Source organism: Homo sapiens, chromosome 14, assembly GCF_000001405.40.
Source record: "Homo sapiens chromosome 14, GRCh38.p14 Primary Assembly".
Lineage (NCBI taxonomy): Eukaryota > Metazoa > Chordata > Mammalia > Primates > Hominidae > Homo > Homo sapiens.
Genome location: NC_000014.9, coordinates 99122445 through 99147413, shown reverse-complemented (window position 1 = coordinate 99147413; position 24969 = coordinate 99122445). Strand labels below are relative to the sequence as shown.

Here is a 24969-nt window from a genome sequence, read left to right as displayed (position 1 = left end):
GATAAAGGCACCTTTGGAGAATGGCCTGGAGCTTGGGTGAGGCTGAAACAATATGAATGTGGAGGAAGATGGAAAATGAAGAGGCTGTCAGATCGTGGAGGACCCTGAATGCTCCTCCTGGAGACAGGGGTAATGCTTTAGAGAGAGAGCCGCCAACAGGGTCTCGGAGGCACACGGGAGAGGGGCTGGTGGCTGGTATTGCCCTGTGATCAGGATTTCCTCTGGAGTTTCGGTGTGTGTTTGTTTGATGGCATCTTCGAGGACCCCTTTTCCATGCAGCTGACCCGCTGGATGGAGGTTAATGAAGATGCACCACCCTTTTTCTGCACGGTGCTGTGATGCTCGGCAAGGTGGGGGGCGTTTTCTAGACAAGGTCCTGAGGCTCTGCATCTGCAACCTACTGCGCTGTTGTTGGAAGGAGGATTGTAAAAGGCAACGCTTGGAGTTACCGAGGGAGGAACGGGACCTCTGAGCTGAGTTAATTACCGCCTTGTAATGTGGCAGGAAATTGGGCCCCGAGGTCTAATTCTACCCTCGGTAACATTTGGACATTTTACGGAAGATGCGGTAGTTTACGACGAGGCACAAAACAGGTAATTGTTGAGCAAAATGTGCATGTCAGAACTCAGTGACCTCCGTGAATCACGCTGCGTTCCCGGTGTCTTCTTATGGTAATGAAGTGCACTTCTGTTCTGTTCTTGTTGAACTCTTCTTGTTCGCCCAAGAATAACTGGCAAAATGGATGGATGCGGAAGTTTTGGCTTTTTGTATGCTGTATGCTGGGAAAATGCTTAATTGTGTTTTCAGAGAAATTCTCAAAGTTTGGGAAAAATTTAAACGAGGACAGTGAGAAGACTGTTGAAAGATCTCCATGGTTGGGCCCGGAAGACCCCAGATCTTAAGCTCCTTGGGGGTGAGGGACGTGTGAGGTGCTGAGGAACGTTATGAAAAGCAAGGGAGTGGGGGTCAGGAGGGGCAGCTCTGATCCCAGTCCTGCTCTGTCTGCTCCGTCAGTATTTAGTTATTTATTTATACTATACCTTGCACCTAAAGGAATGCAATAAACAATACAAAAGGAAATAATTATTAAGTGAGGTGATCAGGGTAGGAAGATAAGGAAAAAGAGAAAGAAAATGAAATCGGAGGTGAGGTTAGTCCATGAGATGCTGCCGTATATCCTTTATGCTTGCTAGAAACTTGGCTCTGAGCTTCCTCGCTGCCAAAGCAAAGAGGGAAAAACAAGCCACACCCTGTTTACAGTGACCTCAAGATTAAAATCAGAAGTCCGAAGAGTTGTTCAGAGGCTCAACACTAAATTGCCATTTCTATAAACACCACAGGGACAGGAACAGCCTGGAGTGGTGGGAAAAGCCTGGGCCCTCTGGATTCCAACCTGAGTTTGGATACCAGCTGTGACATTTTGTCTCTGGGTGGTCTTAAGCAAGTCCCCTCACTTCCCTGAGCCTCTGTGCCCTCATCTCTGTGGTATTGGACTTTGCCCTTTTCTAGCTGTAATGCCCTGTCTTTGTGCAGGCATTGTGCTAGGCAGAGGGGGGACATGCGAGCCGTCTCTGCCTTCCATGGCCTCACACTTTAGTGTGAGCTCCCAGTACTTAGAGGGTTAATGAAGCCTGGCTAATGCTGATGGTGTGTGGAGCAAGGAAGCTTCTCTGAGGAGATGTGGCCTAACCTGGTTACAGAAGGGGGAACAGCAGTTCTCTAGTCAGACACAGAGTCCTCTAAACAAAGAAAGAGAGGGAGAGAGACTGAGATATAGAAAGATCGAGAGAGAGAGAGAGATTGAGAGGTAGAAAATTAAGAGAAAAATAGATTGAGAGAGCAATCGAGAGAGAGATTGAGAGATCAGGAGAGAGAGACTGAGAGAGAGATAGATCAAGAGAGAGATTGAGAGAGACAGAGAGATTGAGAGAGATCGAGAGAGACTGAGAGAGAGATATCGAGAGAGAGACTGAGAGAGACAGATCAAGAGATACAGAGAGATTAAGAGAGAGATAGAGATTAAGAGAGACAGACAGAGACATTGAGAGAGTTAGATCAAGAGATAGATTGAGAGAGATCAAGAGAAAGAGATTGAGAGATAGATCAAGAGAGAGAGATTGAGAGAGAGACAGAGAAGGAGAAATTGAGAAAGAGATTGAAAGAGAGAGAGAGAGAGATTGGTAGTGTCAATGAAAAGATCAAACTGTAAAATATTTAAAGAGGTTTATTCTGAGCCAAATATGAGTGACCACGGCCCAAGGCACAGTCTCAAGAGGTCCTGAGAACATGTGCCCAAGTTGGTTGGTTTTACACATTTTAGGAAGGCATAAGACATCATCCAATACCTGTGAGGTATACATTGGTTCTGTCTGATTGGCAATTGGCTCACGCCTGTAATCCTGGCACTTTGGGAGGCCAAGGCAGGTGGATCACCTGAGGTCAGGGGTTTGAGACCAGGCTGGGTAACCTGGTGAAACCCCGTCTCTTTTAAAAATACAAAAAAACTTAGCTGAGCGTGGTGGGGGGGGTGCCTGTAATCCCCGCTGCTTGGGAGGCTGAGGCAGGAGAATCTCTTGAACCCGGGAGGCGGAGGTTGCAGTGAGCGGGGATTTCGCTATTGCACGCCAGCCTGGGTGACAGAGTGAGACTCTGTCTCAAAAAAAAAAAAAAGTGTTAAGTTATTATCTAAAGAGCTGGAATCAGTAGAAAGGAGTGTCTAGATTAAGATAAGGGGCTATGGAAACCAAGGTTCTTGTTATGTAGAGGAAGTCTAATAGGTGGGTGCCCTTAGATGGCAAATGTTCCCTATTTAGATCTTTAAAAGGTGCTAGATTCTCAGTCAGTCTCTTCAGTATTGGGAGGGTCTGGAAGGGGAAAGATCTAGTTATGTTAATAGAAATTCTTTACAGATGCAAATCTTCCCCCACAAAAAATGGCTTTGCAGGAGCATTTCGAAACATGGCAAAGAGTCATATTTTGGGGCAAAGTGTTTGGATTTCCTTCTTTATCCGTCATGTGATATGATGCCAGAGTCAGGTTGGAAAGTAAGCCACATTGTACAGGGTTAAATAAAACCCATCTGATGAGATTTTATGGTTGGTAGAGTGCAATGCCTCAGGCCCCTTAAATAGGAATTTAGGCAAGAGAGATAAAAGGTCAGGGTTTAGTCTTCAGTAGCCCAGCATTATAGAAACATTGAAAGTGGTTTGTCCTGGCTAAACAAGTTGGTAGGAATGGAGGTGTGGCGATGAGGCCTGGGGGTGGGGAGAGGAGACCCTGGAGAGCCTGGCTGGCTCTGGTGGCAGTATCAGGTGGGAAGTAATCAAGCTCTTCCCTGGGGAAGGTTAATCACGTGACACAGGAAGTGTCGCAGGAAGCTGCTGTGCCACAGGGGACCCAGGTCCTATTTGGATTCCAACCAGGAAGTGACTTCCTTATCTCAAGTGCCTCTATATCTATCCCCACAGTCAGTAGGGCCCCAAGGGCACAAGACTTGGGATGGCAGGAACATTCAGGTTAGTGAGTCTGAATGCCTGATCCCCTGGCCAAGGCCACAGCTTGAAGCTTGTTAGAGATGCAAATTTTTGGCTAGGCACGGTGGCTCATGCCTATAATCCCAGCACTTTGGGAGGCCAAGGTAGGCAGATCACCCGAGGTCAGGAGTTCGAGACTAGCCTGGCCAACCATGGCCAACATGGTGAAGCCCTGTCTCTACTAAAAATACAAAAACTAGCAGGGCATGGTGGCAGGTGCCTGTGGCATGGCAGGTGCCTGTAATCCCAGCTACTCAGGAGGGTAAGGCAGGAGGATCGCTTGAACCCGGGAGGCAGAGGTGGCAGTGAGCTGGGATCCCACCACTGCACTCCAGCCTGGGCGACAGAGGAGACTCCATCTCAAAAAAAAAAAAAAAAAGGTAATGCAAACTGTTGGGCTCTACCCAGACCTACAGAAAGGCTGGGACAAAGCCCAGGAATCTGTATTTCAGCAATCCCTGCAGGTGGTCTGACACATGCAGATGTTGAGAAGCACAGGCACAGGGCATGCTGGGGGAAAAGAAAGGAAGCCACTCCAGAAGCCAGTGGCAGACGGGACTCCTGAACATGTGCCTTGAGCAAACGTCAGTGTCAGACTCCTTAAACAGTGTCAGAGATAACATCCCTGAAAATGGTATTAGCTGGGCCAGCCAGACCCAAGGGCCCAAGGGCAGCATGGGCCTCTGGGAGGAGGGGAAGAGGGGCTGAGAAAAGAGAATTAGGCAGGATCAGAGCAGAGGGAGTCACCTGGCCACACTGGTGGAAGGTGCCCCCCAGTTTCCCAGTGCAGGGACCTGGGCTTGAGATTGGCAACCTCTCCCCTGAGGAGCTGGGAAATGCAGGCTCCGTCCAGCTTCTTGAGAGATAGCAGCGAGCTGGTGAGCAACCCCTTATATCCATCTATGTGCCACCAAGCCTTTCTCAGGATGGATAATTAACATTCTCACGTGTGCTTGAATGACTATTTTTTTTCCTGATGTTTGTACTGTTGATTTAGAAGAAAACACAAATTCATTTTAAAAGTTTACTGCTTTCTGGGCCCGGCGCGGGAGCTCACGTCTGTAATCCCAGCACTTTGGCAGGCCAAGGCGGACAGATCACTTGAAGCCAGGAGTTTGAGATCAGCCTGGCCAACATGGCGAAACCCTGTCTCTACTAAACATACAAAAATTAGCCGGGCATGGTGGCATGCGCCTGTAATCCCAGCTACTCGGGAGGCTGGGGCAAGAGTATCGCCTGAACCCAGGAGGCGGAGGTTGCAGTGAGCCTGGATTGTGCCACTGAAGTGAGACCTTGTCTCAAAAAAACCCCAAACAAACAAAATTTGATTTTATTTCTTTGTGTGTTTTCTCATTCAAGGGATACCAAAGATACAGGTATTTTTTTTTGTGGGGGCTTTGTGAGATGTGTGAAAGGAAAATAAATCTCCCCGAAATTACTAAGCCAAAGGGAAAAGTGAAGCTTGAAACTGCATAGGGTAAACCTGCCTCCCATTCTATTCCAAAATAAGATACCTCCCTTGCAATTTGCCCACAAGGAAATTCTTTGTGGATGAAGGAAAGGCAGAACTCAAAGTCACCCTCCCTCTGCTCCCAGGAGACAAACGCATATCTGATTGCTTCCTTTGCCCTATTGTTTTACTAAGCCAGACTAAGGTATAGGTGACTATTCCTGTAAACTGTGCATTCAGCGAAAGCCTAATCAGAAACTCAACAGAATGCAACCATTTGTCTCTTATTTACATATAACCTGGAAGCCTCCTTTCCACTTCGAGTTGTCCCGCCTTTCCAGACTGAAACAATGTACATTTTACATATATTGATGTCTTGTGTCTCCCTAAAATATACAAAACCAAGCTGTGCCCTGACCACCTTGGCCACATGTCAGGACCTCCTGAGGCTGTGTCAAGGGTACATCCTGAACCTTGGCAAAATAAACTTTCTAAATTGATTAAGACCTGTCTCAGGTATCTTTTGGTTTACAGATGTTTTGACACTATATAGGGGTCCTCATCCCCAGTAGGGCTGGGACGCAGTGACTGTGGAGTTCACTGTATATGCATTGATTCCTAGCCCAGCATTTGGGCACTATGATGCTCACATATCTTTGTGACATTTTCATTAAGACCGGGTTAAAAACCCCTCCATGTCATATTAGCTAGGAGTTCTTTGATGACAGTCACAGAACCCAACTCCAACGGGTTTGAACAAAAAGAGAATTTATTGTTTCTGGTGAGCCTTCAGGTACGGCTGGATCCAGGGCTTTAAGCAATGCTGTCAAGCTCCACCCCCACCCACATCTTGCAGTTCTACTGGCCTCTTTTTGGCTTCATCCCATGTAGGATGGAGCTGGCATCTCTCAGCAATAGTCTCTAAGCTTAGCAACCTTGGCAGAAGCCTCTGCTTGGCCTTACCTGGCTCATTTACCTATCCCCGAACAAACTGCTGTGGCCAGGTGTTGGGATGTTCTGATTGGCAGCCTAGCCCTGGGATGAATGGGGAAGACGGGTCAATGACTGTCCTACCAGTAGCAAGTGGAATGGAAGACTCCTCCAAGGAACCCTGAGAGGGGGTGGGGAAAGAGTGCTACGTAGACGGGGTGTTAAGTCATACCGTTTACTCCAAAGCTCCACACGGACTCACTGATGGTCAGAGGCAAGATTCAGAGGTCTGGAGGGGCCACCCAGGTGAGCAAGATGGAGGTAGAATGACTGGTCGGTTGGTGAGACCTCTTTCCGTGAAGTGGCATGATGTGGTTATACACACTAGGAGGCTACCTGGTGGGGTGAGGCGTGGTGATGTGCAGGAGCCCAGGACTGAGGCTAGGAAGGGCCAGGGGCTCAGTTCTCTTGGAGTGGGTCACTGTGCCAGAGCCAGGGCCACAGAAATGCTTGGTCCCAAAGATTTTTTTTTTTTTTTTTTTTTTGAGACAGAGTCTGCCCAGGCTGGAGTGCAGTGGCGCCATCTCGGCTCACTGCAACCTCTGCCTCTCGGATTCAAGTGATTCTCCTGCCTCAGCCTCCCGAGTAGCTGGGATTACAGGCACGCGCCACCACGCCTGGCTAATTTTTGTATTTTTAGTAGAGACGGGGTTTCGCCATGTTGGCCAGGCTGGTCTCGAACTCCTGACCTCAGGTGATCTGCCTGTCTCAGCCTCCCAAAGTGCTGGGATTACAGGCGTGAGCCACCGTGCCCAGCCCCCAATGATCTTGGATGTAAGAGTAGATCTCGCTTAGTGGATCTGACTGGTCTGATGCAGGTCCAGCCTACGTGGACAGATGGTTAAGGAGCCGTGCCCCACAGCTTGAGGCTGGAACATGGGTGGCAGAGCAGGAGGAAGATTTGGCAGGGTTGTAACTGAATGGTGGCCTCAAGAGCCAGAGGCTGGGTCCAATTGCTGGCCCTCTGTCAGGGTTCCCAGTCCCCACCTTCCAGACACTCACAGGCTCCTCCTGGCACGTCCCACCCCTGCAGATGTCCATGCATCCACCCAGCCTTCACACTGCCCTTGAGCGGGTGCTGGGGCTGCAGAGATGGTCACACCCAGCTTCAGCCCTGGAGAAGCTCAGGTGAGAACAGTCCCTACCTCCAGGTGGCCATCCTAGCCAGGCCGCCTCATGGAACCTCTCCCCCACCTTAGGAGGTGACCCCCAAGTGCATTCCACTCTCTGAGGACCACACAGGGAAACCCACACCACAGCCCAGCCCTGGACCCCAGCCCAGTCTGAGAGCCCACAGTCCTCCCAACAGGGCTTATCTTCTGCAGCCATGGAGCAGAGAGGTGGGGCCTGGGTAGGACCCCAAGTCCCTGGGTGGGAAATTATGCCATTTTCTGCCTGCCTAATCAAAAGCAAAACTCTGAAGGGAGGTAAATGCAATTCTGTGATAGGTTTCAATTAAAGATTTGCTACTATTTGATTAAGATGTATTATTGATTTGGGATTGTTCCAAGCAAGCCCAAGCTCACTTCCTGGTGGGATGGGGTTGGGAATTGATGGGCGCCAGGCAGGCTGGGCTCTCTGAAGGCCAGCTGCACCCCAACTTCTTTGTCTTCTTTTTACAAACTTGACTGTGACCACGTTGCTGCTCTAGTCAAAGCTCATCTCTGGGGAAGCCTGAGGGTGCCTCCATTGTCCCCGGACCCAGCCTCCCCATGGTGCTCTGGGCTGGCTCTTTGCACCCTCACCATGTCCATGTCCTGCCCTTGGCCGCATTCTGTTCATTTGGATCCTTCCGTCTGAATCACCTTTCCTGTCTATCTCTACTCAGTTCATCCTGCTTATCTTTCAAACTCTTAGGTAATGTTCATCTCCTGTACCCCTAGGCCTTCAGGATGCTCCCTAGGCCACCTGCGTGTGGTGTCTCCACTCCACAGCCCAGGATGCAACCCACATCTGTGGAGGTCAGGGGGAGACACAGCTCCAGGGTGAGGATGGGCCTGCACCAGCTGGAGGCCCTGCTGGGGAGTGCGGAAGGGCTGGTGTGGGTGAGGGGCCTAGGGGCCCAGCTGTGCTCATCCCTGTGGTCATGGCTCAGGGCAAGGGCTGCCTGTCCCGGGTCCTCCTGTGCTCTCCGCCCGGAACATTAGAGCTGCACAGGGTTTGTGGGACTGGACTGACCCCACTGTCCCCCTGTGCTTGTGCTTTCTCACCTGCAATGGGGAGGTGGTGAGGGTCCCCTCCTCCAGGCTTTTGGGCAGAGTCCAGCGAAGCAAGGCATGAAAATGTCCAGTCCACAGCCTGGCCATGACAGGAGTGCCACAAAGTGTAGCGCCGTGCCCTGGACACCAGCCTCCTCCAGGTCTAAGACGTGCTCAGAGGGGCCGCGTGTGCTATCTGAAGGTTCACTGGTGCACTCACCACTGTCAGTTAACACTTCCGTCCAGGCCCCACACAGCTGGTATTTGGGTGGAGGACATTCTCAACCTTGTGTGGTTTTCCTGGTGCATTTCACATCCAGTCCGACCCTTGGAACAGCTTAGCAGGGACCATTGGTGCCTCCCCAGCCCCAGTCACCCATGGCCCTGTCCCCTGCACATGGACCCCCTCTTCTTTTTTGGGCCAGTATTATTTTGTATAACCTTTGGGCTGTTTCATCATCTGTCTCCTCAACCAAAGCTTGTTCCTTCTGGGCATCTTCATGTTCCCTCCAGGGGCTCCCTGAGGCTCTGTCTGTCCTAAGCCGCTCATTCAGCACTTGAGGTCTTGGGCACCTCACTCCAGACTCAACTAGCTCCCCGACTGAATCTGTGTTCAGGCCCTGCCATCCCAGAAGCTCTCAGTCTTGGGGAGCTGGATGCTTGCAGATTAACAGGAGGGGTAGAGTAGCAGGCTGTGGATGCTCTTGGCTGCCTGGGTGAGAGGGAGGTCGGGAAAAGGTTCCTGGAAGAGGGCACTGCCCTGAGCCTTGAAGGACCACAAAGGGTCTGTGAAGTGAATAAGGCAGCGTGGTTACAGCTCGTGGGGAAGAGGGAGTGGCTGGTGCAAAGGTGGGGAGAGGGCCCAGTGCATGAGACCTTCAAGGTGTTCAGCCTGTGAGAGCACAGAACAAATGTGCGGGCAGGGCTGAGGCCAGGAGGTGACCACACCTGCTCAGAGAGCACCTTATGCATGCTCCAAGGGTGCTGGGCTAACTTCATTATGCACAAGAGGCTCCTCCTCCCTCTGTGCCTGGACGGGGCTGAAATGAGGCTATTCACGGAAGAACTACATTTCCCAGAACCCTCTATGTTCGGTGTAGCCACATGACTAGCTCTTACCAATGGGATGTTAAGGAGAAGGCAGGGACTCTTAAGAACCAAATCTTCATTACTCTTTTCTCTTCCACTATCTGCAAGCAGAGAAGTCTGAGGTCCCAGGGACTGGCAAAGCCACAGGATGAAAGGAACTTGAGGCTCTCCTTCACTACCTGCAGGAAAAGCACCTGTCGCAACAAGGAGCCCTTGCACTGAATGGTTGCATAAGTGAGAAACGAAGTTCTATTGTGTTAAACCTCTGAAATTGTGGTTTTTATTTGTAACAGCAGCTGGCACTGCCCTGGGGTGGCAGGTCGGGTGGGGGAGAAGTGGGTAAATTAGGGGCAGGAAAATCATTTGAGGAGTTGTTGGGGTGGGAGAAATGAGAGAGCCCAAAGAGATAGGTATGATGTAGGAAGTGCTCAGAAAGGGGGGCCCAGATGGCCCACACGGAGGTGGCTTCTGGCTGACTGGAAGGTGGAGCAATTTCCTGAGACAGCAGAAGGGGATAGTTTGGGATGGGTGGGGCTGCGGTGACAAGTTTGATCCTGGCCATGATGAGTTGGAGCATCTGTGGACCACCTAGTGGAGAAGCCTGAGAAGCAGTAGATTGTCTGAAGCTCCAACGAGAGGCAGCAGGAACTGGGGCTGGAACCACAGATTTGAGAGCTGGTGGGTGGCTGCTGAAGTAGCAAGTTCAGCCTTGGGCAAAATGCCTCGGACTTGATCTTGAAGGCGTTAAGGAGGCATTGGTGGGTTTTGAGCCAGGAGTGCTGCGACTGGATTTGCATTTGGGGAAGTTCATTCTGGTAGCCAGGAGGAGGAGGCTGTAGCAGACGGGGTGAGCATAGAGGCAGAGAGGCCTGAGGACCCTGCTGCTGTAGCCCAGGAGGAAAGACGGTGATGTGGCTGTGGGCTGGGAAGAAGGGGTGGAGGTGGAGAAATGAAGGAGGGGAAATTTGCTCCTGAGACCTGGCTTTGTTGGCTGGGGGAGGGCCGGAAAGGGCGGGAAGGAGTCAGGATAGAGAGGGGGCTTTGCTGCACACAGACCGCTGGGTTTAATCCCTGGGAGAAGGCCTTTCTGCACAGAGCCCATTCTAATACCCTATAGGTGTTTATTGAAAATGGGTTCTTAAGGGCACTCTGGCAGAGCACAGCTGTTAGTACATGTCATACTTAAAGCAATTTATTCCTCCCTCCAAATCATAAAAGTTTGCTCGTTTCACGTGGGGAGAGCAGCACATTGGCATTTTGTTGCTCTAATGGGTAATTACTGTCCAGCGACTGATGGGGGCCATATTTTCTGAACTAAAAAAGCGGTGCTTCCGGGCTCTGTCCATTGGAAACAGCAACACGAGCTCAGCTGCGGTTTTTAACTCTCCACCCATTGACTATTAATTTTTCTGACTCCGTATTGATTTTCCATCCTGTGGTTGGGGGCAGGGTTTGGTGTGAGATACAGAACCTGTTCCCTGGGCGATTCGGTCACCCTTCGGCCCCTAAGTGAGGAGGGGTCCTGCCATGTCATTGATGGGGCCACAGTCACCTCCCCACCTTCCGACAGTGTATTTCTTCATCTAGGTAACTACCCACCTTCTATTGCATGCCTGGCACATGCTAACCAAGCTTTACCTCTGAGGAGCTCACAGACCAACATTCCTCTGGAGGAGGGAGCAGGTTTTGATGGTAGGTGATGAGTTTCTTTCATTCAATGCCTGGGGTTTCCCACTGGCCCCCATTATGTTGCCTGGAAGATGGGGGCTCTTGTGAAGCAACAGCAGGATCCTACTGGACATTCTCCAGCTGCCTAATCCCTCCATGTCTCAGTGTTCTCATCTGTCAAATGGAGTCGCTCATCCCGCTCAACCCTCCCCTGACAGGGGTTACTTGCGTGGCCTTCCCATTGGCCTCCTGCTCACTCTTTCCTGACCCCAAACCCTCTGCAGGCCAGGCTCCCAGCCGGCCCCTCTGGACTTGGATTTGGCTGCAGCCTGTTGCTTCTCCATCTTCAGGACCCCAATCCCCTACCTGCACCACAGTGGGCTGCCAGCCACCTCCTGGGCCCATCCAGGGACCACTCGCCTGCAGAGCTGCCATGTACATTGCCTGCATTTCTGTGCCTGAGACCTATACTCCCCACTTCCCAAGAGACTGCAAGCACCATGAGGACATCTTTGTTTGTTTGTTTTGTTTTGTTTTGAGAAGGAGTCTTGCTCTGTTGCCCTGGCTGGAGTGCAGTGGTGCGATCTTGGCTCACTGCAACCTCTGCCTCCTGGATTCAAGTGATTCTCCTGCTTCAGCCTCCTGAGTAGCTGGGACTACAGGCACATGCCACCATGCCTGGCTAAGTTTTGTATTTTTATAGAGATGGGGTTTCACTATGTTGGCCAGGTTGGTCTCAAACTCTGACCTCCTGATCCGCCCACCTTGGCCTCCCAAAGTGCTGGGATTATAGGTGTTAGCCACTGTGCCCGGCTGAAGACAGTCTTTAATCACCACGGTCTGTGCAGCACCCGGCACGGTTCCTGGCCCACAGCAGGTCCTCCGTAAAGAGTGTGAGGTGTGGATCACACACCTCCAGCGTTCTCCTGGTATTGCTTGGGTTTGGAGCCTTTTCTGGGTCACAGAACACTTTAAGACATTGACTAAAGCCACTCCAGGAAAGTGGGTATGGGCACAATCTCACACAGAGACGCTAGTTTCTTCTGAGGCTGCCTGCAGCCCCGATCTAAGAGCTCCAGGCTGCACTCAGCCCCGCTGACATTCTCTCCAACCTTTAAGGCCCAGCTCATGTCCAAATGGGAGGGAGCGCTGCCTTGGCCCTGCAGAATGATGCTGTTGGAGGAAAGGAGGCAGAGCAGAGTGAGGGGCAGGCAGGGAGGAAAGAGAAGATCACAAGAGAGCACAAAAGTGGGGCCATTCCAGTACGGCGGTGAAAGTGACAGAGACGCTTTGCGGGAGGTCGGGGCCGTGCCTTTGCTTGATGATAAAGGACTGAATCCATGCTGACCTGAACTTGCTGAATTCCTAGGCTTTGCTCTGAGCCCAGGTTTTAAACCTGACCCTTCTGAGAACAAAATTCAGAGGGCAGAATCTTGCCATTTTTAACTTCAGATTCAAAGGAACCACTTCAGGAGGAAACAGGCAGAAAAGAGCCTCAGACATCATTCGGCCAGGCTGCTCTTGATCAGCTGAAGACAGTGTGACCCCAAAATGGGAAGGGGACCGCCAAGGTCAGATGGTGAGGCAGAGAAAAGATGTGGCCCATATTCCCCACTCCAGGTGCAGAGGGAGGACGTTCTGCCAGCAGCAGCGTCCAAGGAGAATGGCAGAAGCTGAGGTGCCCTGTGGAGGCTGCTCAGCTGGAACTCTCTAAAGGGGCCTGCCCCTCCACTTTGCCCAATGTGCTGTGAGGCATGACTGGAGTCCAGTGGGATCCACTGGGTCCGGATATCTGTGGATGGTAATATTATCCTGGGGACCAGCTCTCAACCTGGAGATTTAGCAGTCCTGGGGTGGAACATGATGGAACCCGCACCCTAGAACAAGAATGTCTTTCAGGCATGACAGGCTCGAAAGGAGGTTGAGGGGGCTTGAACAAGGGTACTTGTCTGTCCCACTGAGGAGCCGGTGAGGCCTGCAGAAACTCCTCTGGGCCTATGCTGATCAGCTGCCGTGGCTTTGGCCTTGATCTCCCCCAGGTCCCCAGCCTTGCAACCCCAGGCCCTCCATACTGAGTCCTCTCTGCTTCTGCCTTTGCACACAGCAGTATTTCAGAACCCAGGAGGCAGGGCCTGAACTCTGCTGCAGCTCCCTGCCTCTTGGCTCTTTCTACTGTGCTCAGGGCCATGGCGTCTGTGTCCTCCCTTTGACTACAAGGAGCATTTATTTGATTTCCTGCTTGGGAGTTCCCTCTGGAAATACATCCTCCACTGAGTACAAACAGGGCCACCATGCCACTTCCTATGTAACACCTGGAAATGTCACCCCCCGAGAACAGCAGCCCTGGAGTAGCTCAGGGCCTGTGCCTCACTTCATGTCCAACATTGTGCTGGCTGTACTGTGGGCTGTAACCTGCACCCATGTGTGAGTGGTTTGAGCAGTGATGCCTGGCCTTGGAGAGCCTGAGGGCTGGGGTGTGTTTCAGGTGTGCCCTCCTGCCCCGGGGCAAGGGAAGACTACCGGAGGGAGGCGGCGTGGCACCTGCGGGTGACAGGATGTTCTGCAGACATCTGGATGGGTCTGGCTGGGAGGCGGAGTGGCTAACAGCCAGTGTCCTCCCCTGATTGAAATCGTGTGCAGTCTTGTGGGGCTCCTGGGAAATGCCGTCCTATCTGACTGTGGGTCTCCCTCCCCACCCCCACCGGCTTCCTTCCAAGAAGCCTGTTTTGTAACAGTTGGCCCTGGCTCTCCCGTTCTCGCCTGGAGAGGAGACTGTCATCTTTGAAACGGGGCCTCATAAACCTGTAGCTGAGACAGGACATATTTTTCACTGGAGCGCTGAGTGCAGAGGGTGGGTGGGGAGGCCTCACTGGTGACGGGGAGATCCACTTTCCCTAGAGAGAAGTCACTTCGTAGAGACATGGGGGAGAACGTGCCTCGAGGAGGAAATTCTTCAACTCAGCTGCCACTTCTGGTGACGGCAAAGGCCACTGTTGGCATCTCCCTTGTTCTTGGTGTGAACATACTCTTGTGGGAGAAATGTGACAAGTTCTTTTTCCCTCCCAAGACTTCTCATGCAAATGGAGCCGTGATCATAGTCAGATGCTCCCCAAATAAGGAACCGCTTTGCGACGAAACAGAGGGAGAAAGCAAAATACAGAGGGGGTTTCACAGCACTCACAACTCTGCTGCCCTGCCCCCAAGAAACAGGCCTCATTCCACCCCCTGCCCCCACCCGACTGTGACTCCCTGCCTTGGCTCTTTCCTACAAAAATGAGTAAGGACTTTTACTTCTGACTGCAGGCAGGGGAGAGAAGACTCAGACGTTGCGGGAACCCTGTCTCCCTCTGTCTCTCTCAGAAACACCCAGAGTGGAGCGAGAGCTGTGACCAGGAGACTTCTGCGATGGGGCTCAAGAGCTCCCAAATCTGAGAGGTGCTGGGAGCGTGCCCTGTGGCTGGGGAAAGAGGGGTACCTGAGTCATGGCCTTATGATGATGCTTTGATTTTATTTTTCTGAAGAAAAGAAAAAGTGGGTGAGAGCAGAGCACAGCAGATTCTCTACCGCCCGGAGTGACACAGCTCCCTGGGCCTCTGTTTCCCCGTCTTTAACGGGACCAACCCCAGTGCCCCTTTGCCTCTCAGGATGGCCATCAGGATAGAAACAGGTCATGACATGAGGCAGCATCTTGTGTCATGCTTCTTAAATATTGATCTGCCTCTGAGTTCCCTGTGCAGCTTTGAAGATACGGATTCCAAAGCCCAGAGGTTTTGCTCTTACCTAGGCTCATTCTGATGCCACAGGTCTGGGGCAAATTTGGAGGGCTAAGGCCTTCATTTCTCGAACAGAAAACAAGGTCCAGAGAGGGAATGGGACTTGATTGAAGGGACTCTGTAAGGCAGAGATGGGTCTAGGATTTGAACCTTCTTATTCTTGTCCGTTTTTAGGGCCCTAAGTTTTCACAGATTTCACACACCCTCACGAGCTTGCTCAGGAAAAGGGGAAGGAATTCACATCTGCTGCGCACTTGCAGGGTGTTAGGTCTGAGCTGGCACAACCCTAGAAGACAGGGCCTAGGATTATCCCATTTTATAGAGAAAAGTAAGGCTCAAACAGAACAAGTGACTTAGGCCTGTAAGTATAGGGCTGGGATTCAGAGCCAGGTCTTCCTGACTCCAGCTCCCCCGGGGTTAGACCGTAGAGCATGAGGAACCAGCATTTCTTAGCATCTTTCCCCATATGCCCTGGTACCAAGCAGAGTGGCCATATGCTGGTGCCAGTTTCATTTCTGGAGGACCCAATCCCTCCCCCAGCCTGCCGATTCCTTGGAACGAACTCACTCCCGCTGCTGGCCCTGTTGAGGAGTTTGGTGCGGGGATGCCGGTGGTGGTGAGAGAGGGGGACAGTCACAGGTTCCCATCTGAAGCCTTGCTGTCAGCTGTTTCCTCCCACGCAGTGTGGAGGCTGCAGCAGGGCTGAGCATCCCTGCATGGCCAGGCATTCCCAGGCCGCCTGAAACCCCAGACTTAGAACGAGAAGTCAAGGCTGGCTGCTCCTGACACTTCCTCTGGTCCTCTCTGTCCTCCCTGGGCTCAGACCCCCAACCTTGCAAGGGGACAATGCCCCCTCCCCAGCCCATTCCTGCTGAGCAGCCATCAAGACTGAGAACCAAGGGCCGTGGAGTGCCCAGTTCTCCGTACCTCCTCTCCTGGACACGGCTCACCTTCCCAGCAGCTCCCATGGGCAGCCCTCCAGCCTCTGCCTGCACACTTTCCATGACGGGGAACTCACTACTTCCCAAGGTAGTCAGTGACATTTCTAGGCACTTTAGATTGCTACAATGTTCTCATTTGCAATTTTTTTTTTTTTTGAGATGGAATCTGTCTGTCACCCAGTCTGGAGTGTGGTGACATGATCTCATCTCACTGCAACCTCCATCTCCTGGGCTCACGCAATTCTCTTGCCTCAGCCTCCAGAGTAGCTGGGACTATAGGTGCATGCCACCATGCCCAGCTAATTTTGGTATTTTTAGTAGAGACAGGGTTTTACCATGTTGGTCAGGCTGGTCTCAAACTCTTGGCCTCCAGTGATCTGCCTGCCTCAGCCTCTCAAAGTGCTGGGATTACAGGCGTGAGCCACCTGATAAGTCACAATTTTTTACATACCTTAAGTATTGTATATATAAATATATACACGTTACGTGTTACACATATAAAAATCATATGTCTAAATGTATATGTGCATCATATATAAATTATATGGTACATTATATAAAATATTATTATTCATTTGTTGTCCATATCCCACTCATGTATTCAAATGTGCCTGCAGGAGGCTGGGCATGGTGGCTCACACCTGTAATCCCAGCACTTTGGGAGGCTGAGGCGGGCAGATCTCCTGAGGTCAGGAGTTTGAGACCAGCCTAGCCAACATGGTGAAACCCCATCTCTACTAAAAATACAGAAATTAGCCAGGCATGGTGGCGGGTGCCTGTAATCCCAGCTACTCAGGAGGCTGAGGCAGGAGAATCGCTTGAAACCAGGAGATGGAGGTTGTAGTGAGCTGAGATCACACCACTGCACTCTAACCTGAGTGACAGAATGAGACTCTGTCAAAAAAAAAAAAAAAAGTGCCTGCAGGAGGCACACAGAGATGTATACAAACACAATCTCTGCTCCTTCATCCCGTCAGCCACATGGGCACCTTCACATCCCCTGCTCTCTTTCCTAGGCTGGGTGTTAACAATGACTTCTTTAATTTTGCCAATTTTATAGACAAAAAAAGGGGCATCTCCTTCCATGTGGCCAAGGAGTTATTTCTAGAGGTTTCTTTTGCTTATTGTTATGTGGAATGGGCTTCAGGCACTTCTTTCGTCCTTCCTTCCTTCCTTCCTTCCTTCCTTCCTTCCTTCCTTCCTTCCTCCCTCCCTCCCTCCCTCTCTCTCTCTCGCTCTTTCTTTCTCTTTCTTTCTTTCTTTCTTTCTTTCTTTCTTTCTTTCTTTCTTTCTTTCTTTCTTTCTTTCTTTCTTTCTTCTTTCACTATAGGCACCTGTCACCACGCCCAGCTAATCTTTTTTTTTTTGTATTTTTAGTAGAGATAGGGTTTCACTATGTTGGCCAGGCTGGTCTCGAACTACTGACCTTGTGATCCGCCCACCTCGGCCTCCCAAAGTGCTGGGATTACAGACGTGAGCCACTGCACCCGGCTGGGCACTGCTCTTTCTTGGGGAGAGGGACAATGAGCACAGGAGCAAGGGGGCGACAGCTGAGCATCTACTGAGCCCCGTTATAAGGAACAGAGAGACGGCGAGAGGATGGGGAGGAGACTGGAGGAGGAGCAGGGGAAGGAGAGGGCGTGGGGAGGAGAAGGCGCCGTCTTTCCCCTCCAGTTCCCAGGCCCACGCTTCTGCCATGGTTGTCTCCCGCTCTCAACCACCACTGCGTCCTGCTTCTTTACTATTTTCCTGCTATTCCCTCATTGAACCCTTCTAAGATTCCGGTGAGATAGATTTTATTATCTCCATTTTACAGATTAGGAGACCGAGGCTCTGAGAGGTAAAAGGATCAACTAGCTTGCAAGGGGTTGAACCTGGATTTGAACCCGAGGCTGTTGGATTCTCGTCCTATCATGGTAGAGACAAAGAAAGGAGCAGATGGGAGAGATCCTGACAGGGAAGAGAGACCTGGAGAAATAAAGACAAAGTCAAATGGAGAAAAGCCAGAGACAGAAGCAGAGAGATGCCAGCAAGAGGAGAGAGGGAAGATGGAGCAGGAAGAATAGAGACTGTCTCCGAGAGAGAGGGAGGGAGAGTGACACAGATAGATGTGCAAGTCAGCGGAAAAGTGGGGACGAAGTCGAGTGAGGCAAGAGAGCATGGAGGCCAGACTAGAGGCAGGGCCAGGAAGGGAGGCGCCGAGCAGGGGTTGTCCCAGGGCAGGCCCTATGTTTCTCGCTCCAGCTCTGGCTGGCTCCTTCCTCTGCAGCCATCTCTGATCTCTGTGCAGCATCCCAAGCTCCGTGAGTGACAGCCTCCTAGAGAGGATGCTGCTTGGAATAGACGCTGGAGGAGCAGGGAAGGAGGCTGGATGGAGCTCCAGGGAGCCAGGTCCAGTGCTGCACAAGGGGACCCGACTCCCTAGACAGGCCTCATGGTCTCAGGAGGCCTCAGAGGAGGTCACACAGGCAGGGAAGCAAGGCCCAGAGATGGGAGGGGCTTGACTGAAGGAACAGGAAGGAAGGGACAATGACTGCACCTCTCGAGCAGGCTTCGGTGTCTGGGTTGAATGCGAACAGCCAGTCAACAGCAAAATCCACCAACTCTAATACATCCGCTCATCTCCCTTCCCACTCAAGCTCCAAATCTGAACACCCCACTGTGCGGCAAATAGTCAGTAAAGCCAAACCTGAGACAGTAGGAGCTGAGATCAAAGAGCACTAGGTGAGGAGTCAGCAGCCTGGATCCCTGGCTCTCCTTCACCCACCTGAGCCTCCAGGGCAAGGAGGAACTGTGGACACTTGTCTTAAAGGCTGGCACAGGGCTCAGGAGGACAGATGTAAAGGCACATGGCTGTAGGTCCCCAGCCTGTGCTGGATTTGCCTTTTCCTCTTCCCCCAGAAGTCCTCATCTGTGAAATGGATTGGCTTGACCGCATGGGTTTTCAGCTGCTGCTAGCTCTGACCTCTGGTGATTTGATTGACACTAGTGGCTTTGCTAGACCAATTTGACCAGTGGACCCAGGGCACTGTCTTCATTGGCAGGCAGATAACTTAATCTCTGATATTTCTCCTCGTTAAAATTCAGCTTCATTAAGCATAAAACAGCTTGGAGGGGCTCGGGACTTTCCGCCCAAGGGGTTTGGGAATGGATGGAAAGGAGCAAGAGGAGGAGAGGGGGAGTCTCCTCCAGGGTTCACTGTTGAGGGACTCTCGGTTTAGACCTGCTCTCTTGATTCTTAGTAATGATGTTCCTGGTGGCGCTTCCTGGCTCAACACAGACTCCCTCTCCAATCACCCTCACAACACACTCGCGCACCAGACACACTCGCACACACTGATGTACCACACACCAGACATACTTGCACACACTGATGTACACCAAACACATATTTTCACGAATACATTCTTATGTTCGTGCACCCGCGCGCACACACACCAGACACACTCGCACACACTGATGTACCACACACCAGACATACTTGCACACACTGACGTACACCAAACACATACTTTCACGAATACATTCTTATGTTCGTGCACCTGCGCACACACACGCCAGACACACTCGCACACACTGATGTACACTTAAATACACTCACCAGTGTATTCATACATGTGTGTGCATGCACACATACACACACACCGTGTGGAAGAGAAAGCGTGTCTGGTTTCACAGGCTATCAGAGACAAAGTTTCTGTTTATCTTGGAACTGGCTCCAGTGAGCAAATTCTCTCCCCCTTGGAGCAGCCCTGGCATTCCTATCTTGCTTACTGGGAGGAAGGGAGTGAAGGATGAATTTCCTATCCTGTAATGGGGGTGGGTGGGGGGACTGGAAGGCAAGTTGCAACAGCAAGTGTGAGCACAAGTGTGTGTGCGTCCCGCTAGCTGGGTGGCTGGGCTTGGCAGCGACCGGCAGCAAGAGTGACGCATCGCTGGAGGTCTTTGTTGATCCTTTCCACATTAGGAAACAGGGTTCTTAAGGTTGATTTTGTAAGCTCAGGTTTCTCCTCCTTTCACTTGTTGATTGTACTGCCAAGGCAGTGTGCCAGAGAGAGAATCCCTCGTCTACCCAAGGAGAGAGAGCCTGAACTGCTTCCTCAGAAGCAGGCCTAGAATACCAAAGCATGACCGTCCAGCAAAGCTGCCTTGTCAGTGAGTACCCAGCTTAGGAGCAGTAATGACACTGGCTATGCATAGGGTCTCTCTTTCTCTCTGGGTCTGTAGCACCGATGTCAAGAGCACAGAACTCACCACTAAATGACCTGGGTTAATACCCCTGATCTGTCACTCACTAGATGCAAAATCCTGGGCAAGGTACTTAGTTCTTTGCGTCTCAGTTTCCTCATCTGCAAAGCAGGGATGGGAGCATTAGAGCCAACCACAGAAGCATTTGCGAGGACTATCCAAGGTAACGAATGGAAAATACAGAGAGAAGTGTCCAGCCTGTGATGAGCGCCAGTAAGTGTTGGCTATTATTATTCCCCTATGCCTGGTTTTATGCTAAACCATTTCCAGACATTCTCCCTGTAGGATGCTTCGAAAGGCACTCTGCAGTTATTCCCATGAAGATTGTGTGGGTTGAGTGACTTGCTCAAGGCCATTCAATTGGTTGGTGGCAGAGCAGGGACTGGAACTCACTGAAGCCAGTGAGCTCTCCTGTGGGGTGGGGGTGGTCTCCCCTTTCCTGCAGGGTCTTAGCTGGGGATGCTCACCACCTTTACGTTGTGGGCCAGAGGGAGGACAGTAGTCAGTGGACTTCGAAGCTCACTCAGCTCCACATAAGTGGGAGGTGAGACCTGGGAGGCATTCTTCCAGGTGGTGGTAGGGAGCTCCTCGTGGTGGAAGGTAATCAATGAACAGATTCACACTCATTTGAAATGGATGATCTTTCAGTGCTATTCATGCCACGCAGCACAGCAGGATGTTCTGAGGATGCCGGAGTGATGACCTGCTAACTGAATTTGTCGAGTGGTGTGAGGGTAATGAGCTTATGTAAAACCAGTGTACCAAAAATACAGACTAAGAAAACCCCAAGGCCGCACGATTAGTAATAGGGAACAAACATGCTATTTTCCCTCATTTTTTTTTCTTGATGTTGCCATGAAGGGTTTCCTCTCATTCATCAGAAATAAAAGCCCTATGACAGTTAGACTTCCTCAGGGCCTACACTGGCAGCCATGGAGTGGGCTGGAGGGGAGCTGGGGCCCAGAGACTCCTGAGTTCTACGACTGCCTCTGCCTTGCTGGATTTGAACCCAGCTGGGCTGGCTGAATTCACAGCCTGTGCGGTTAACTCCACAGCACTCTGCACCTCCAGCTATGACCCAGAGAGTTCTGGGAGAGTCAGAGCTATTCAAGAATGGTGGGTGTGTATGGGGCCCTGGGGGTGGGCTCGGCTTACTGTGTGAGGGGCCATAGAGAGGCCTGCTTTTCCCTTCTGTTTTTGTCCCAGCCCACCCTCTGCTCCAGCCTGTCAAGGCCACCTGTGTGACTCTTTGGCAGGCTCTGTGTGTAGTGTGGACAGTGCTGTCATCCTGCTTGGCTGCAGGTTTGGCCATCCTCCATGGATTTTCCATGGCCCATTTGCTTTTCTTTTGCTCTGGGGGGCTGATGGTTTGCACACCTGCCAGGCAGTTCTCCCCAAGGGGTCTTGGAGAGCCTGGCCTGCAGAACATGAGTGCCATAGCTCTGAAGGCAGCCCAGCCTACTTGAACCTTGGATCCTGGGATCCAGAGCCATTCATGAGTCATGTTGTTTTTGTAGTGAATCTTTACCCACTTCTCGTGAGGACAGCCTATCCAGGTCCTGTGGGACAGCAGGATTTAATGCCCAGAAGTAGGAAGACTAGGCTGGGCATCAGGGGGCCAAGGCTGGGATCTCTGTGCCCCTTCCTGGCTGCAGCACTGTGGGCAAGTTGCCATCCCTCTCTGAGTCAGGGTTTTCTCACCTGTAACTTAGAAATGATCACTTCCTTCCCTTCCTGGAGCACCTAGATGTTGTAAGAATAAAACGAGATAACATAGAGGTGAGAATACTCAGCAGATATCAATCACAGACCTACTATATACATGGTACTCACTGACCATGTTGTACATGATCACAATTCAAAGAAAACCAACGAATTAATCAACCAATGACCTACCAACTAATCAACTTACCGACCAACTTACTAACAAACTGAGCAACCAACCAACCAACCAACCAACCAACCAACCAACCAACCAACCAATAAATGAATTTATCTCCCAACCGACCAAACAGTGGAGCTTAGCATCTTGTTGGGAAAAGACCTACATTGAAAAATCCCACAGAGAAATACCGACGACCCTTGCTCAGATGGAGAGGACACACCATCATGACAGCCTCCGGTGGAGGGGCAGCAGTGGGAGCCGTGGGACAGGGTCCCAGTTCAGGGATTTTTCAGGCGCTACCACTCCTCTCTTTCCCCACGGCTCCCAGCTGCACCCAGGCTCTGGCTCTTGGATGCATTCCCAGGGCCTCCACCTGGAACCTCGCAGCAGCTCCTCATCGCAGTCTCTCCTTGGACACACTGTGGCCAAAATGTCTCTTTTCGGAAGAGTGATGTGACTATGTCATTTCTCTGTTTAAAACCCCTTACGGGCTGCTCCTGTGTTCTCAGCCTGGAGAAGCAGACCCTGCCACATTTCCAGAAGCACCCACCTTACTCGCTGGGAGGTGATTGAAAGCGTTATTTCTATAATAAAACAAGTGCAGGTAGAGAACGGGGCTGGACACACTTGCAGGGGCATGGCTACTCTGGGCTGCATGTCCAGACTCTGGAGGCTTGCCTTCCTCTGCCATTGAAGGGACTCTGGTGGGGAGCATGGGAAGTGCTGCTCCTCCTGCTGGAAGGAAGGTCCCTTCCCATCTTCTGCTGCAGCGGCTCAGACCATCTCTTTGACAACCTACAGCCTGGCAGTGCCCAGGGCAGCATTTCCCACCTGTGGGCAGCGCTGGCCCACTCGCCTGTCGGGATGGCCTCTCCAGTGTGGCTCCTTAAGGCCAAGACCACAGTTTGTCTTCCTCGGCACCTCCAAGGCCTGGCCCAGGGGCTGGCCCAGCGAGGGCCCTGGGAGGGTAGGTCCATGAAATGAGAGATGCCCACAGTGGGGTCTGGGGCAGGGAAGAGAACAAAGGCAGCAGCATGAGGCTCAGTTGTGTCCTGCCTGCCCTCTGCTGCTCCTTCTCCTCAGTGGGCAGCTCCCCAGGAGGCGTCCCCCATGGGCTTGGTGGGGGCCTGGATGCATCTACAAGGAAATAGGAGTTTCATTTCAGGGTGCTCTTGGCCTGTTGGCCCTATTCTTAGAGGCAGAAGTGGAGAAGGGGAAGGTGCATGGGCTCGGGACCCTACAGCTACAGGTTCAAATCCCAGTTCCTCCACTTAATAGTTGCGTGACCTCTGGAAAGCTATTCCTACTATTTTAGTTTTCTCATGTGTAAAATGAGAATAGTTACGGCCTCCCACCCATAAAGTGACCATGTTCAGGTAAATCATTGTGGTGCCCTAGAGGCTCTCCTGTTGAATGGGAGGAGGGGCTGGAAGTTGGGCTTCCTTGCAGCTCTGCTACCTGCTCATTGGAAGATACAGCTCTAAGGTGGGGATTGGAGGGGCTTTTTGGTTGTTCCACATCTCCAAACGCCATATCTCCAAAGTACCATGTTTTATTTAACTTCAGAAAATTTGCAGCCGTCATCTGTCCCGTTGGTGTCATAAGCTTCTCATTTGCTACTTCTCTTTTTTTTTTTTTTTTCCAAAGAAACACACCCACCAAGAAAAATGCTGTGACAGGTTGTGAGGTTGGAAGTTGAAACAGAAGCATCAAGTTCTAATAGATCCTGCCCTGTTAAGTGAAGTCCCCGGAACAAGATGCCGTTTCAAGGGAAACGGATCTGGGCTTTTAAAACTCTCTACTCACGATGAGAATATAAAAAGATGGGTCCGGGAGAACAAAGGGAGAGATTTTGGGGGATGATTCCTTGGGAAGAAGTGTACCCAGCCCTTTTGCTAGCATGTTGGGGGGGCATGAAGAGATCCCTCCTCCACCTCATCCAAGTTGCTGTAAAAGACATGATTTCATTCTTTTTTATGGCTGAGTAGTATTCCATGGTATCTGTATACCACATTTTCTTTATCCACTCGTCGGTTGATGGGCACTTAGATTGGTTCCACGTCTTTGCAATTGCCCCCACCTCAAATTTAGTGGGAGGTGCTTCCTGCCTGTTCCTTTCAGGGTGGACACAGGGGACCTACTGGCCAGCTCCTGTCTGAGAGGAATAAAAGTTGCCTGACAGCTGAGCTGGCCGCATTGACGTGGCCTCTACTTGCCGAGGTGTATGTCCCATGGACCCTGTGTGAGCTCAGCACAGTGAGGGGGCCAGCCCTGCTCCAAGGCTCCCCTGTCCTGCAGGGAACAGGACCTGCCTGGGGGGCAGTTGGTCAAGGGCAGGGGAAGAGGGAAGGGGAAGGGAAGGGAAGGTGAAGCAGACCCCCTGCCCTGGCTGATCTCATCTCAGGGCCAGTAGGCCCTGCACAGGATGGGAAAAGATTTCACTTTAAATCACATTGGAAGTTTTGATGATGTCAAGGTATAAGATGCTTTTAGTTGCTGAGGTGACAGTGTCACAGTGTCTGGCAGCCTAAGGGGATGACAGAGCTTTTTTTTTTTTTTTTTTTTTTTTTGGCAGAGTCTCGCTCTGTTGCCCAGGCTGGACTGCAATGGCACGGTCTCGGCTCACCGCAAGCTCCGCCTCCTGGGTTCAAGTGATTCTCCTGTCTCAGCCTTCCGAGTAGCTGGGATTACAGGCACCCACCACCATGCCCGCCTAACTTTTTTTGTATTTTTAGTAGAGATCGGGTTTCACCATGTTGCCTGGGCTGGTCCCTGTGCAAGGACGACACACAAATTCATGAAGTGTTCTGTATTTTTTCTGGCTCGGTGCGGTGGCTCAAGCCTGTAATCCCAACACTTTGGGAGGCCGAGGCCGGTAGATCACTTGAGGTCAGGAGTTCGATGACAGAACTTTTATTGCCTGAGTGATCTAAAGAGTCCTGAGCCCTCTGGGACTGTGGGAGAGTCTAGGGCGGGGGGAAGCTCTTCATGGGACACATTTTACAGAAACAGTAGGAGACAAAATAGAGCCGCCTTGTGGTTGAACTTTGTGAATCCAGCTTGGTCGAGACATCAGCTCACAGACGAAACCAGGGAAGGGAAGGAGGCTGATGCCTTGGCCTGAGACAGCTCCCTTCCTTTTTGGAACCTGGTCTTCCCTGACTGTGAGATGAGACCCCTCACCTAGGGGTCTG

General features: G+C 51.5%; 1 long non-coding RNA gene across 2 annotated transcripts, besides 2 other annotated features; it reads left to right on the top strand.

Annotated features, from left to right (window-relative positions):
• Window positions 4147-5055: an enhancer, noted in NCBI's record as "H3K27ac-H3K4me1 hESC enhancer chr14:99608696-99609604 (GRCh37/hg19 assembly coordinates)". NCBI's record gives its function as "activates a minimal SCP1, AML or CMV promoter by ChIP-STARR-seq in naive H9 embryonic stem cells {active_cell/tissue: H9 hESC(naive)}" and the evidence as "EXISTENCE:reporter gene assay evidence [ECO:0000049][PMID:30033119]".
• On the top strand, window positions 7558-23727 carry LOC105370659 (uncharacterized). 2 transcript variants are annotated; one of them, XR_001750879.2, is made up of 4 exons: window positions 7558-7958; window positions 9372-9494; window positions 10848-10952; window positions 23423-23727. It is a non-coding gene; the product is annotated as an uncharacterized LOC105370659 (long non-coding RNA). The 2 variants fall into 2 exon arrangements; XR_944198.3 differs by lacking the exons at window positions 7558-7958; window positions 9372-9494 and adding an exon at window positions 9839-9938.
• Window positions 12523-13246: an enhancer, noted in NCBI's record as "H3K4me1 hESC enhancer chr14:99600505-99601228 (GRCh37/hg19 assembly coordinates)". NCBI's record gives its function as "activates a minimal SCP1, AML or CMV promoter by ChIP-STARR-seq in primed H9 embryonic stem cells {active_cell/tissue: H9 hESC(primed)}" and the evidence as "EXISTENCE:reporter gene assay evidence [ECO:0000049][PMID:30033119]".
• Window positions 23728-24969: the final 1242 nt, after the last annotated feature.